General features: G+C 43.5%; 1 protein-coding gene, 1 long non-coding RNA gene and 1 pseudogene across 10 annotated transcripts in view; 1 reads left to right on the forward strand and 2 right to left on the reverse strand.

Moving 5' to 3' along the window:
* Positions 1 to 14,935, reverse strand: part of PRKAB1-AS1 (PRKAB1, TMEM233 and CCDC60 antisense RNA 1) — a 280,141-nt gene that overhangs the window by 228,606 nt on the left and 36,600 nt on the right. The window lies entirely within an intron of this gene.
* Positions 1 to 14,935, forward strand: part of TMEM233 (transmembrane protein 233) — a 60,522-nt gene that overhangs the window by 22,819 nt on the left and 22,768 nt on the right. For all 7 annotated transcript variants that reach the window (XM_011538329.3, XM_011538330.3, XM_005253881.4 and 4 more), the window contains exon 2: positions 13,144 to 13,280. In XM_011538329.3, coding sequence (XP_011536631.1) covers positions 13,144 to 13,280 — 137 coding nt within the window. The remainder of the gene's footprint in view (positions 1 to 13,143; positions 13,281 to 14,935) is intronic.
* On the reverse strand, positions 14,498 to 14,794 carry RN7SKP197 (RN7SK pseudogene 197; annotated as a pseudogene).

Genomic DNA, 14,935 nt, shown 5'->3' on the forward strand with positions numbered 1-14,935 from the left:
GGAGAATTTCTCTGTGGTGATGGAGCATTTCTGTTTCCTGATTGTAGTCATGGTTATTAAAATGTACATGGGTGATATTGTTTGGCTCTGTCCCCACCCAAATCTCAATCTTGAATTGTAGCTCCCATAATCCCCATGTGTCATGGGAGGAACCCAGTGGGAGGTAATTGAATCATGGGGCCAGTTTCTCCCATGCTGTTCTTGTGATAGTGGGTGAGTTCTCACAAGATCTGATGGTTCTGTAAGGGGCTTCCCCCTTCGCTCAGCACTCATTCTTTTCTCTCTTGCCACCATGTGAAGAAGGACATGTTTACTTCTCCTTCTGCCATGATTATAAGTTTCCTGAGGCCTCCCCAGCCCTGTGGAACTGTGAGTCAATTAAACCTCTTTCCTTTATAAATTACCCGGTCTCAGGTATGTCTTTATTAACAGCGTGAGAACAGACAATTACAGTAAATTGGTACCACAGAGAGTGGGGAGCTGCTATAAAGATACCAGAAAATGTGGAAGCAACTTTGGAACTGGGTAACAGACAGAGATTGGAACAGTTTGGAGGGCTCAGAAGAAGACAAGAAAATGTGGGAAAGTTTGGAACTTCCTAGAGACTTGGAGGCCTCAGAAGACAGGAAGATGTAGGAAAGTTTAGAACTTCTTAGAGACTTGTTGAATGGCTTTGACCAAAATGCTGATAGTAATATGGACAATGAAGTCCAGGCTAAGGTGGTCTCAGATGGAGATGAGGGACTTTTTGGGAACTAGAGTAAAGGTCACTCTTGCTATGCAAACAGACTGGCGACATTTTGCCCCTGCCCCAGAGATCTATGGAACATTGAACTTGAGACAAATGATTTAGGGGATCTGGCAGAAGAAATTTCTACATGGCAAAGCACTAAAGAGGAAGCAGATCATAAAAGTTTGAAAAATTTGCAGCCCGATGATGTGATAGAAAAGAAAACCCCAGCCGGGCACGGTGGCTCATGCCTCTAATCCCAGCACTCTGAGAGGCCAAGGTGGGCAGATTACCTGAGGTTAGGAGTTCGAGACCAGCCTGACCAAAATAGAGAAACCCTGTCTCTACTAAAAATACAAAATTAGCCAGGCATGGTGGTGCATGCCTGTAATCCCAGCTACTCGGGAGGCTGAGGCAAGAGAACTGCTTGAATCTGGGAGGTGGAGGTTGCAGTGAACCAAGATCACGCCATTGCACTCCAACCTGGGCAACAAGAAAGAAACTCCATCTCAAAAAAACAAAAAGAAAGAAAGAAACCCCATTTTCTGGGGAGAAATTCAAGCCAGCTGCAGAAATCAAATGTTAATCACCAAGACAATGGGAAAAATGTCTCCATGGCATGTTAGAGACTTTGAAGGCAGCCCCTCCCATCACAGGCCTGGAGGCCTAGGAGGGAAAATTGTTTCATGGGCCAGGCCCAGGGACCCCCTGCTGTGTGCAGCCTCTGGACATGGTGCCCTGCATCCCAGCTGTTTCAGCCCCAACTGTGGCTAAAAGGAGCCAAGGTACAGCTTGGACCATTGCCTCAGAGGGTGCAAGTCCCAAGTCTTGGCAGCTTCCATGTGGTGTTAGTCCTGAGGGTGTGCAGAAGACAATAACTGAGGTTTGGGAACCTCCACCTAGATTTCAGAGGATGTATGGAAATGCCTGGATGTCCAGGCAGAAATTTGCTGCAGGGGCAGAGCCCTCATGGAAAACCTCTGCTAGGGAAGTATGGAAGGGAAATATGCAGTAGTAGCCTCCACACAAGGTCCCCACTGGGGCACTGCCTAGTGGAGCTGTGAGAAGAGGGCCACTGTCCTCCAGAACCCAGAATGGTAGATCCATCAACAGCCTGCACCATGCACCTGGAAAAGCCACAGGCACTCAATGCCAGCCTGTGAAAGCAGCTAGGGAAGGGGGCTGTACCCTGCAAAGCCACAGGGGTGGAGTTGTCCAAGGCCATGGGAACACACCTCTTACATCAGTGTGACCTGGATGTGAGACATGGAGTCAAAGGGGATCATTTTGGAAATTTAATGTTTAATGACTGCTCTATTGGATTTTGGACTTGCATGGGGCCTGTAGCCACTTTGTTTTGGCCAATTTCTCCCTTGTGGAACAGATGTATTTGCCCAATGCCTGTACCCCCATTGTATCTAGGAAGTGACTAACTTGCTTTTGGTTTTGCAAGGTCATAGGCGGAAGGGATTTGTCTTGTCTCAGATGAGAACTTGGACTTGGACTTTTGGATTAATGCTGGAATGAGCTGAGACTTAGGGGGACTGTTGGAAAGGCATGATTTTGTCTTGAAATGTGAGGACATGAGATTTGAGAGGGGCCAGGAGTGCAATGATATGGTTTGGCAGTGTCCTCACCCAAATCTCATCTTTAATTGTAGTTCTCATAATCCCCACATGTCATGGGAGGGACCTGGTAGGAAGTAGCTGAATCATGTGGCCAGTTTCCCCCATGCTATTCATGTGATAGTGAGTAAGTTCTCACAAGATCCGATGGTTTTATAAGGGGCTTCCTCCTTCACTCAGCACTCATTCTTCCCTCTCCTGCTGCCATGTGAAGAAGGACATGTTTGCTTCCCTTTCCACCACAATTGTAAGTTTCCTGAGGCCTCCCCAGCCATGCTGAACTGTGAGTCAGTTAAACCTCTTTCCTTTATAAATTGCCCAGTCTCAAGTATGTCTTTATTAGCAGCATAAGAATGGACGAATACAATGGGACAAAATTCCATAGAAGCATACACATATGAAAAAAGAGTAGGCTAGGCATGGTGGCTCATGTCTATAATACCAACAGTTTCGGAGGCCGAGGCAGGCAGATAATTTGAGCTCTGAAGTTCAAGACCAGCCTGGGCAACATGGCACAACCTCATCTCTACAAAAAATACAAAAATTACCTGGTAGTGGTAGCACTCACCTGTAGTCCCAGATACTTGGGAGGCTGAGGTGGGAAGATCACTTCAGCCAGGGAAGTTGAGGTTGCAGTGAGCCAAGATCATGCCATTGCACTCCAGCCTGGGTGACAGAGCGAGATCCTGTCTCAAGAAAAAAAAAAAAACACACTGACACTGGTAGAAATCTATTCACTCAGGAGTTATATTAATATAATATCACTATAATAATAGTATTTTAAAATATTTTTTGAAGACAGCTTTGAATAATATTTTGGACATGTTGGATTGAATATATATTATTGAAGTTAATTTCACCTACTTATTTTTACTTTTTTGATGTGGTTACTAGAAAATTTAAAATCACCTGTGTGTCTCCCATTATATTTCTGTTGCACAGTGCTGGTTCATAATATGTAAAAGTTTCCCACAGCTCAGTAAGAAAACACAAACCGACAGAAAACTAGACAAAGGGTATGGGTACAAAACTCATCAAGAAGAAATACGTAGGATCAATAAATATTCATTTATACATACATTTGTTAATTCAACACATACTTATTGCTCTCCTTCTATGTTCCAGGCACTGTGTGGGTCATGAGGGAGAGCTGGCCAGTTTTAGATAAGCTGGAGGTGAAAAGTCCTCTGTGAGAAGATAACACTGGAGCTAAGATCTGAAGTGTGAAAAGATGGCTCAACCTCACCATTAATTAATGGAATCTTATCTTGAGATTCTTCTTCACCCATCAGAATGGGGAAACAATAGATTGATAATATACAGTATTGGCAATGATGTCAGGGAAAGAGCACTTAAAAGAATTAGTGGGAGCATAGATTTGGATAACCTTTCTGCAGGGCAATTTGGCTCTATCTCTCCAAATGTAAATCCATATACCCTTTGACACAACAATTCCATTCCTAGAAATTCACCAAAAGCAGAGGCTCAAACGTATGCAAAAATGTATGAATTAGAATGTCCACTGCAGCATATTATGCAATCTCAACAAATTTTAAATAACTAAATGTCTATAGTTATAGGTGAGGCATGACCACTTAAATGAACTACTAGGAAGCCTTAAAAAGAATAAGAGAACCATACTCACAATGTTTATAGAACTCACAATGTTTCTATAAGTTTGAAGCTATTTGAAAATAAAAAGTTACAAAGGAAAGATTGCACCATAACAAATCAAGACTTTCCCCAAGAATACAAGGATGATGTAACATCAGGAAGTCTATCAATATAACTCATTATTTTAATCACGAAGGGGGAAAGGAAACAAGAATAAGATAGACTTGGACACACTAGCTTGGGAAGTTGCCCACCCCATATTAAGTGGAAAAAAAAGCAAATTGCAGAACACATGTAGTATGATACTGTTTGTATTTTTATATTTTTTATTTTTTCAGATACAGGGTCTTGCTCTGTCACCCAGGCTACAGTGCAGTGGTTCAACCATAGCTCACTGTAACCTCAAACTCCTGCGCTCAAGCAATCCTCTCGCCTCAGCCTCCTGAGTAGCTGGGACTACAGGTACATGCCACCATACCTGGCTTTTTTTTTTTTTTTTTTTCTGAAACAGGGTCTTTCTCTATCACTCAGGCTGGAGTGCAGTGGCACAATCATAGCTCACTGCAGCCTTGAACACTGGGACTCAAGCAATCCTCCCACCTCAGCATCCCCAAGTAGCTGGGACTACAAGCATGTGCCACCACGCCAGCTAATTTTTTGTAGATACAGGGTCTCCCTATCTTGCCCAGGTTGGTCTTGAACTCCTGGACTCACGTGATCCCCTGCCTTGGCCTCCCAAAGTGTTGGGATTACAGGCATGAATCACTGCACCTGGCATCCAGCTAATTTTTAAAATTTTTTGTAGAGACAAGGGTCTTGCTATGTTGCCCAGGCTGGTCTTGAACTCCTGGACTCAAGCGATCCTCCTGCCTCAGCCTCCCAAAGTGCTGGGATTACAGGTATGAGCCACTGCACCTGGCCTATTCATATGCTTAGAACAAAGAGAGAAAAAAAAAACACAAACTTCTGTGTGTCTGTGCCTGTGTGTGTGTACAATTACTGTACCAAACTAGCCACGTGACTATGGACAAATTGCTTTGACTTCTTTGTGCCTCAGTTTTCCCATCTGTAAAATGGAAACCACAAAGCACCTAGCTCATAGTGTTGTGAGGACCAATACAATAATCCTTGAAAAACATTTAACACAGTGTCTGGCATATACTAAATGCCTCATAAATACTATCTGTTATCATTGTTATTTTGTCAAAGAAAGACTTAAGGCCAAAACATTTAGAGAAGAAAAGATTTTACTTCAAAAGAAATACAAGAGAATCCACCTTCAAAAAGACCAGCTAGCCAAAGCAAAACACAAGTATTTAAAAGAAAACAGATGCAAAGTTGCCAAGGTCACTGAGTTGTTTTATATTAATCTGTTCCTGGAAAACAAACAGTATCTTTCTGAGTATATTACAATATCCACAAAGGAAGTAACCCGTGTTTAGACATCATAGTTGCAAAAGGTAGTGATGAAGTTGTCTTTGCCAAAATTTATGGGAAGTACTCAAGGTTTTAATATTTGAGGGATCAGGACTAGACAGACTGACTCTGTTATTCTTGGTTTACCTCAGGGTGAAAATTGCTGTTTCTCTCTCCTGACTATGATACATGATGTGCTTAGTCATAATGGAAGCAGGAGAAAGTGTCAGTTTTCTTTTCATATTATTCATGCGGGGAAAAAATCTAGAATCAGATGCACCAAACTGCTAATAAGGGTTATCTCTGAGAAGTAAGATTAGGGAAAGAGATTTACTATTGACTGCATGTGCTTCTATAGCATCCAAATGTTTTACATGTTCACAAATTGCATTAGTAATTTTTAAAAGAACAAATAAGATCATATAAATTTTGAGTATCTAAAGCTGCCCTGTTTCTTCCTAGTTCTTCCACACCAGATGGAATAGTTTACATTCTAAGCTCTTCAGAAAAAGATTTATAAACCATGCATTTTCTCTAAAATCCATTTCCACCGCTTCAGTCTGTCACATCTGCCAGGAGAACCTCAGTATAAAATTCCAATTAAAAGAGGAAAAGAATTACAGTGACATGTTGGGGAAGCAGGGAAAGAATTCTTTCTGCTTCACTGTTAGTTCTCTACCCTTAAGCCCGAGACCCCCCCAGCCATGGAAATCCTTCACAATGAAATCTCAGAGCTGGAATCTCTCACTCTCGTCCCTCCCCTCATCTTCTTACTTTTACCCAGCAGATCTACCCGTGGGCAGCCCTTTTCCCAAGTACCAGGGGAGAAAATGGATTCAGAAAAGGATTTGTGGGGAGAGGAGCTTCCACACTTAATACTGAAAGAGGCTTTTCATCTGTTTTTCAAGCCAACAGCAGCCCCATTCCCAGATTCACTCAAGGTCTCCCTTACATGTCCCTGGAAAGAAGGAGGGTCACATACAAGATGCCAGAGTGGCAGCAGGTGATGAACGTGGGGCAGGATTCACCTGTGGCTTGCACCCAAATCCCCTTCAGCCAGGTCACCAAGCACAGCCTCTCTGCCTTGTATCAAACAACTCAAATGGCCAGGGACTCTCATTTCACCTGTGCTCATGGGCAATGCACAGGTGATAGATGTACCCTTCTACGTGACAGATTGGCTGTTCTTCCCACTTTTTTGGTCACTGCTACTGAGAACACGAAACTGTTTTTTCATCCAAACAGCCAGGAGTTGCCATTTAGAAAAGAGAGGGGACTTCATTATTTTTCCTATGGTTACAGCAACATGAATGCATCATCATAGCTATCATCTCAGAACTGTGTTTTCCAAGGCAGCACAATAGGTCGGTTTGGGAAGGTCTGAATTTATATAATTCTAAACTGGATTATGAGCTCAGAATTTAGGGTTCTAATATTCTATGCAGTGATTTTGATTGTAAAGCCTCTAAAACAGCTTCTCAGCAGTTTGGGAGGCTGAGGCAGGTGGACTGCTTGAGGTCAGGAGTTTGACACCAGCCTGGACAACATGGCAAAACCCCATCTCTACCAAAAATACAAAAAAAAAAAAAAAAATTAGCTGGTTGTGGTGGTATGCACCTGTAGTCCCAGCTACTCAGGAGGCTGAGGTGGAAGGATTACTCTCCCCAAAGATCCAGCAAGGGTAGAGAAGATTCTGGTACACCCCAAAGATTGCAGATTTAGAATAAGAGCAAGGCAGGAAGTGGCAATTCACAGCAAAAGCTAACATTTATTGAGCACACACTATGTGCGGAGCCAATACCAACCACTTGACACACATTAATTCAATGTGAAGTGGGCGCTATTACTATTGCCCCCGATTTACAGATGAGGGCACTAAGGCTTAGGAAAGTTGAAAACTTGCCTTAGCTCTTGCAGATGATAAGACATGGAATTTGAACTCAGATCTCTGAATTTCAAGCCCATGGTCTATTACATACTTCCTTGGAATAAATTTAACGACGGTGGGCATCTTGACCTTGAAGGACATTAAGGATAGTTACATAGACCAGAAGTTTTCAATCCTGTGAAGCTTAAAAATTATAATAATAGGCTGGGTAAGGTGGCTCATGCCTGTAATCCCAGCACTTTGGGAGGCTCTGGCAGGTGGATTGCTTGAGGTCAGGAGTTTGAAACCAGCCTGGGCAACATGGCAAAACCCCATCTCTACCAAAAATTAAAAAAAAAACAAAAATTAGCTGGGTGTGGTGGTATGCACCTGTAGTCCCAGCTACTCAGGAGGCTGAAGTGGAAGGATTACTTGAGCCCAGGAGGTCGAGGCTGCAGTGAGCCAAGATTGTGCCACTCCGCTCCAACCTGGGTGACAGAATGAGACCTCATCTCAAAAAAAAAAAAATTTTAATGATAATAATAATGCAAGAGCAACTCAGCCATCTATCAACAGCTGAAGGGATAAACAAAATGCAGTGTATCCTTACAGTGGAATATTATATATATCCCTACAATGGAGTATTGTTCATCCTTAAAAGGGGAAAAAATTCTGACACATACTATAACATGGATGAACTTTGAAGACATTATTATGTCTAAGTAAAAGAATCCAGTCCCCCCAAAAAACAAATACTGCATAATTTCACTTGCATGAGGTACCCAGAATAGTCAAATTTATAGAGTCAGAAGGAATTGTGGTTGTCAGGGGCTGGGGAGAGGATGAATGGGAGTGAGTATTTTACAGGTATGGAGTTTCCATTGGGGAAGATGAAAATTCCAGAGATAGATGGTGGGTCATGGTTGCACAGCAATGCGAATGTACATAATGCCACTAAACAGTATACTTAAAAATGATTAAAAGATTAAATTGTAGGCATATTTTACCACAACAAAAAAATCACACACAAAAAACATGTGCCACCTGGTCCCCACATCAGTTAAATCAGAATCTCTCCATGATAGAGCCTGGTTCTCTGTATTTTTTTTTTACTACCCAGGTGGTTCTAATGAACACCCAAGCTGGAGAACTCCAGAATTCGTGACTTAGAATTCAGGAACTCACCTTGCTGGAAGTCCCTAACATTGTTTTTAGTTCTCGCTCTCTCATTCACACAAGAGGCCTAAAAGCAATTCCTCTTCATTGTTGAGTCTTCCCACCTGTTGCTGACTAAGGTGGCCCAGATCCAAGAATTAATGGAAGGTTCCGGAAGCAGAAAGCTCTGTGGTATACTGGGTATTTCTCTGGCTTGTAATTGTCTGCATATGTCTAATCCCCCTTAATAGTCCAGGAAGAGGAGCAATTATTACTGAAGTGCTGTGATTTCAGAATCAAGGAAGAGGTTCTCAGTGAAATCTGTAATTTCACAGCACTGACGGAGTCCTTCTGTACATAACTTCTTCTTTTTTTTTTTTTTTCCTTTGATACAAGGTCTCACTCTGTCATCCAGGCTGGAGTGCAGTGGCACGATCATAGCTCACTGCAGCCTCAAACTCGTGGGCTCAGGTGATCCTGCCACCTCAGCCTCCTGAGAAACTTAGACTACAGGTGTGCGCATACATAACTTTTAAATAAATATTTCCAGTCTTCTTTGGGCTACAGCACAACTGTTGGGTGACTCTCAGCCATGGGATGATAAAGAGAGCTTATTTTTCAAAACTGTGTGTTCTTTTTATTTTGAAAAATTGCAGGCCTCAAATATAAGTGAGCAAATAACACAATGACCTATATAATCACCAAACTGCATCAATAGTTAACATTTTTTGCCATTTTTATTCTTATTTTGCTGAAAATTTAGGTACAGGTTGCAATAATATCAGTTCTAGATAATGCAGCCTGTATCTTCTGTAGAAAAAAAAATTCTCTTGTGTAACTAAAATACAAATATCACACTCAAGAAATTTAACATTATTATTATCTAACATTTACTCTACACTCGAATTTCCCCAATTATCCCGAAGATATCTGTAATTGCTACTTATTTATTAATCCTAGACACGATCAAGGATCATACATTGCATATAATTGTTAGGTTCATCTAGTTTTCTTTAATCTAGGAGAGTCTCCTGATGTGTTTGGGTGGGTGGGTGTGCATGTCTTTCACGACATTGACTTTTTAAAAATAATTTCAAGCCATTTGTCTTGCAGAAAGTTGCTCAAATAGAATTTACCCTATTATTCCCTCTTAATTAAAAAAAGCTAGGTATATTGAGAAAACTACATAGGGCCAGGTGCAGTGGCTCATGCCTGTAATCCCAACACTCTGAGAGGCCGAGGCAAGTGGATTGCTTGAGGCTGGAAGTTCGAGACCAGCCTGGCCAACATGGTGAAACTCTCTCTGCTAAAAATACAAAAATTTGCCACGCGTGGTGGCAGGCACCTTTAGTCTCAGCTACTCAGGAGGCTGAGGCGGGAGAATGGCTTGAACCCAGGAGGCAGAGGTTGCAGTGAGCTGAGATCACGTCACTGCACTCCAGCCTGGGAAACAAAGCAAGACTCCGTCTCCGGAAAAAAAAAAAAAAGAAGAAAAAGGAGGAGGAGGAGGAGGAGGAGGAGAAGGGAGAAGGGAGAAGGGAGAAGAGAAGAGAAGAGAAGAGAAGAGAAGAGAAGAGAAGAGAAGAGAAGAGAAGAGAAAAAAGAAAAGAAAAGAAAACTACACAGGTAAAATGTCCTTGCTAGGGTATTTTATCAGAAGGCACATGATGTCATTTGGTCAAGATTCTCTTATTATTAAAGGGAGAAGAACAGTATCTGGCCTTCATTTCAGCAGCAAGCAGTCTCTGAATACCTCTTCTTTGCCTGGCAGTGTACTATGTCCTGCAGACCTCAAAGATGCCCTCAAAAACTTCACATTCTGTGGGGAAACAGAAATATTCATGCACTCATTCAGTCAATAACATATTTCTTGAGCTCCAACAATGTGCCAGACACCACTCTAAGTACTAGAAACAAGGATGATATTTAAATATTTAACAAGTTTGGCATGAGCACAGAATCAGAGAAGATGCTCTGCTGAGCCCAATAACCCTTAAGTTGCTGGATCATGGGGAAACCGGGGAAAAGGCAGAGGAGCAAGTGGGATGGCTGGGATATTGGGGAAGGCGGACAAGCTTCAGAGTAGCTGCTATTTATCAGTGAGTACAGAGTATTTCAACATTTTAACAGCTGGGAATGACAGCCGTGGCTTGGGCATGGAGATGAAAAATTCAGCCAAGGTCCCTGACCTCATGGATTGACCTTCTAGTGCAGGAGTGGGCGAACTTCTTTGGTAAATGACCAAATAGTAAATATTTTTGGCCTTGCAGGCCCTACATTCTCTGGACAGAGAGGCAAAGTCCCAACTACTCAACTCTGTCTTTGTAGCACAAAAGTAGTGTGTCAGTCCATTTTGCACTGCTATAAAGAAATACCTAACACTGAATGATTTATAAAGAAAGGAGGTTTGTTTGGTGCATGGTTCTGCAGGCTAAACAAACATGGCGCCAGTATCTTCTTCCGGTGAGGACTCAGGAAGCCTTTACTCATTGTGGAAAGCAAGGGGAAAACAATTGTGTCATGTGGCAAGACAGAGAGAGAGAGCAAGAGAACGATGCCAGGCTCTTTTAAACAACCAGCTCACACATGAACTAACAGAGTGAGAACTCATTACTGCAGGGAGGGCACCAAGCCATTAATGAGGGTCTGCCCCCTGACCACAACATCTCCCACCAGGCCCCACCTCCAACATTGGGGATCACGTTTACACATGAGATTTGGAGGGAACAAACATCCAAACTGAGGTAGGAGGCGGGACTTGACTCCAGACCAGATTGAAGACCGGCTGAAACAGGGAAAAGGCACTCAAAGCTCCTCTCCATAAGACATGCTCACCAGTGCCATGACAGTTTACCATTGCTATGGCAACACCCAGAAGCTACCACCCCTTTCCAGGGCAATGACTCGGAAGTTGTCACCCCTTTTCAGGGCCACGACCCAGAAGTTACTACCCCTTATCTAAAAATTTCTTAACAACCTGCCCCTTAATTTACATATAGTTAAAAGTGAGTATAAATCTGACTGCAGCACTGCCCTGAGCTGCTGCTCTCAACACGCTACCTATGGGGTAGCCTTGCTCTGCAGGAGCAGTCATGGAGCTGTAACTCAACCAGGGCTCTAATGCTGCTGCCTCAATCAAGCTGCTTTTATATTTTATTTTTTTTATTTTTATTTTTGAGACGGAGTTTCACTCTTGTTGCCCAGGCTGGAGTGCAATGGCAAAAATCTCAGCTCACTGCAACCTCTGCCTCCCAGGTTCAAGCAATTCTCCTGCCTCAGCTTCCCGAGTAGCTGGGATTACAGGTGCCTGCCATCACACCCGGCTAATTTTTTGTATTTTCAGTAGAGACAGAGTTTTACCATGTTGGCCAGGATGGTCTTGAACTCCTGACCTCAGGTGATCCACCTGCCTCGACCTCCCAAAGTGCTGGGATTACAGGCGTGAGCCAGCACGCCCGGCCTAAAGCTGCTTTCTTCTACCACCAGCTCACTCTTTTTTTTTTTTTTTTTTTTTTTTTGAGATGGAGTCTTGCTCAGTCGCCCAGGCTGGAGTGCAGTGGCACGATCTTGGCTCACTGCAAGCTCCGCCTCCCAGATTCACGCCATTCTCTTGCCTCAGCCTCCCAAGTAGCTGGGACTATAGGCGCCCGCCACCACGCCCGGCTAATTTTTTTTTATTTTTAGTAGAGACGGGGTTTCACTGTGTTAGCCAGGATGGTCTTGATCTCCTGACCTCGTGATCTGCCCATCTCATCCTCCCAAAGTGCTGGGATTACAGGCATGAGCCACCACGCCCGGCCCACCAGCTCACTCTTAAATTCTTTCCTGAGAGAGGTCAAAAAACTTCCCAGGCTAGGCCCCAGTTCTGGGGCTCACCTGCCCTACAACAAAACTATATCAAATAGCCACAGACAGTAGTAAACAAATGAGTGTGACTATGTTCCAAATAAGCTTTATTTACAAAAACAGGCAGCAGGCTGGATTTGGCCCATGGGCCATGATTTGCAAATCCCATTCTAGTGAACAAGACAGACATACTCATTTGTGTTTTTATGCTACAAATACTTATCCAGCATCTTCTACATGGCAAGTATTGCACTGGACACTGGTATGCCGAACAAGACAGAAGGCCGGGCGTGGTGGCTCATGCCTGTAATCCCAGCACTCTGGGAGACCAAGGTGGATGGATTACTTGAGGTCAGGAGTTTGAGACCAGCCTGGCCAATGTGGTAAAACCCTGTCTCTACTAAAAATACAAAAATTAGCCAGGCGTGGTGGCGGGCACCTGTAATCCCAGCTACTTGGGAGGCTGAGGCAGGAGAATTGCTTGAACCCGGGAGGCGGAGGTTGCCATGAGCCAAGGTTGTGCCACTGCACTTCAGCCTGGGTGACAGAGTGAGACTCTGTCTCAAAAAAAAAAAGAAAAGATAAAAGACAGACGATGACCCCTGCCCACGTTGCACTTACATGCTGGTGGGAGAGACAAAATCTTGTTACGTAAATGCTAAGACAAAAGTCATCAGGAAATACAGAGGGGGCAGTTAACTCATCCTTAGAGTTTAGGGAAGGATTCCTGGAGGAGGGGATGACTGTGTTGTTTGCTTAGCAGGCTGTCAGTGAGATGAGCAAAGTCACCAGAGAGCTCTTGGAACCTTTTCATCAGGACAGCCTGAGGACCTCCATCCCTTTCCCTGTGGGTTATCTGTCATCACCAGCTCTTCCCTTCTGTCCCCCAGTCTCTGAACAGCTACAACGATGGAGACTACGAAGGAGCCAGGCGGCTTGGGCGGAATGCTAAGTGGGTAGCCATCGCCTCCATCATCATTGGCCTTCTCATCATCGGCATTTCTTGTGCAGTTCACTTCACAAGGAAGTAAGTAGGCTTTTTGAATCCCTCCCCATGTCAAACGCCCTTTCTCGAACGCCCGTTGGAATCTGTTAGGGTAGATTAGGTTATGCTCCAGTAACAACCCCAAGCCAAAGGGTTTTCATGTTTTCTTCTCAGAATAAATTTGTCCCAGTCCAGAGGGACATATCAACAGTGTGGATCTTCTAGTGCGGGAGTGGGTGAACTCCTTTGGTAAATGACCAAATAGTTAATATTTCTGGCCTTACAGGCCCTACATCCTCTGGACAGAGGGACATAGTCCCAACTACTCAACTCAGTCTTTGTAGCACAAAAGTAGTGTGTTAGTCCATTCTGCATTGCTATAAAGAAATACCTCAGACTGAGTGATTTATAAAAAAAGAAGGTTTGGATGCTTCTTTGGATCAGGTCAACAATATGGATCCATTACATGGATCATATAGGTCAGTGGAAGGTCTCTCCTCCACACAGTCATGCAGGGTCCCACGCTATACAAAGCTGCACCATCTTGTAGCTGCTCTATCTAGGACAGAAGTCAACAAACTTTGTCTGTAAAGGGCCAGATAGTAAATCTTTTAAGCCTTGCAGGCCATATGGTCCCGATCATGGTCTCTGGCACAGCTACTTAGCTCTGCCATTTTAGCACAAAAGCAGCCATAGACAATATAGAAATGAACAGGCGTGGCTGTGTTCCAATAAAACTTTATTTACAACAACAGGCATCTGTCTGTGGGCTGTAGTTTGCCAACTTCAGATCTAGAACATGAGGTGTCCTCAGGCAAAGGCGGGGGAGAGGAAGACTGGAGAATCCCACATGGGCTTTTTACTGCCTAGCGACAAATGTCGCTTAGGCTTACATTGACTGAAATCAGTCACGTAATCCCACCTAACTGTAAGAGGGTAGGAAATGTGGGAGAATAAATGGGATATTTAGGATTGCTATTTGCTCTGCCCTAGCACATCATCTGCTAAATAAACTCCTACTTGCATCAAACTAGCATAACTGTTTTAGTTTAAGGGCAGAAAGGTCACTACATATTTTTGGTATTGACAAGGAGCTCTCATCTCATGAAGAGATGGATGCTGCTGATGTGTTGTCCCTCTGGACTGGGACAAATTTATTCTGATTTCTCTAACCAGCTCAGATGGGCTCCATCTGCTAGACTCAATAACACTTTCCGTCAGAGGTTTGACAGACAGCAAGGTCATGTGATAGGCAACTCAGACCCAGAAATGACAAGTCCAGATCCATCTCTGTCTTGCTGTGTAATTTCTGGTAAGACAGATAAGAATGCTGAGAAATTCTTTCACTTTTCTGCCACAGCAGCATGGCTACTCCTATACCCTTGACCAAAGTCCTACACCCATCAAACTGAGAAGGTCAACCTCTTTCTCTTGGTTGACAAAGGAGGCTCACCCAGATGGGTGAGGGAGGAAGGAGACCTCTTTTGACATTCCAGATCAGCCAACCCAACCTTGGCAACCAAGACAGTAGCAGATGTCATGGTAGATCCACTTCCTATCAGAGAAGGCAGACCCAGGAACAACCAGTGGCAGCTGGGTAGAGGGGAAGATGTCAAAACAGAAGTGTCACAAAAGAAAATTAAATGGCTTTGGCCAAATAAAAGAGAAAAGGACACTCAAACATGAAAGGAAACTCA

The sequence above is a fragment of the Homo sapiens genome, chromosome 12 (genome assembly GCF_000001405.40).
Source record: "Homo sapiens chromosome 12, GRCh38.p14 Primary Assembly".
NCBI lineage: Eukaryota > Metazoa > Chordata > Mammalia > Primates > Hominidae > Homo > Homo sapiens.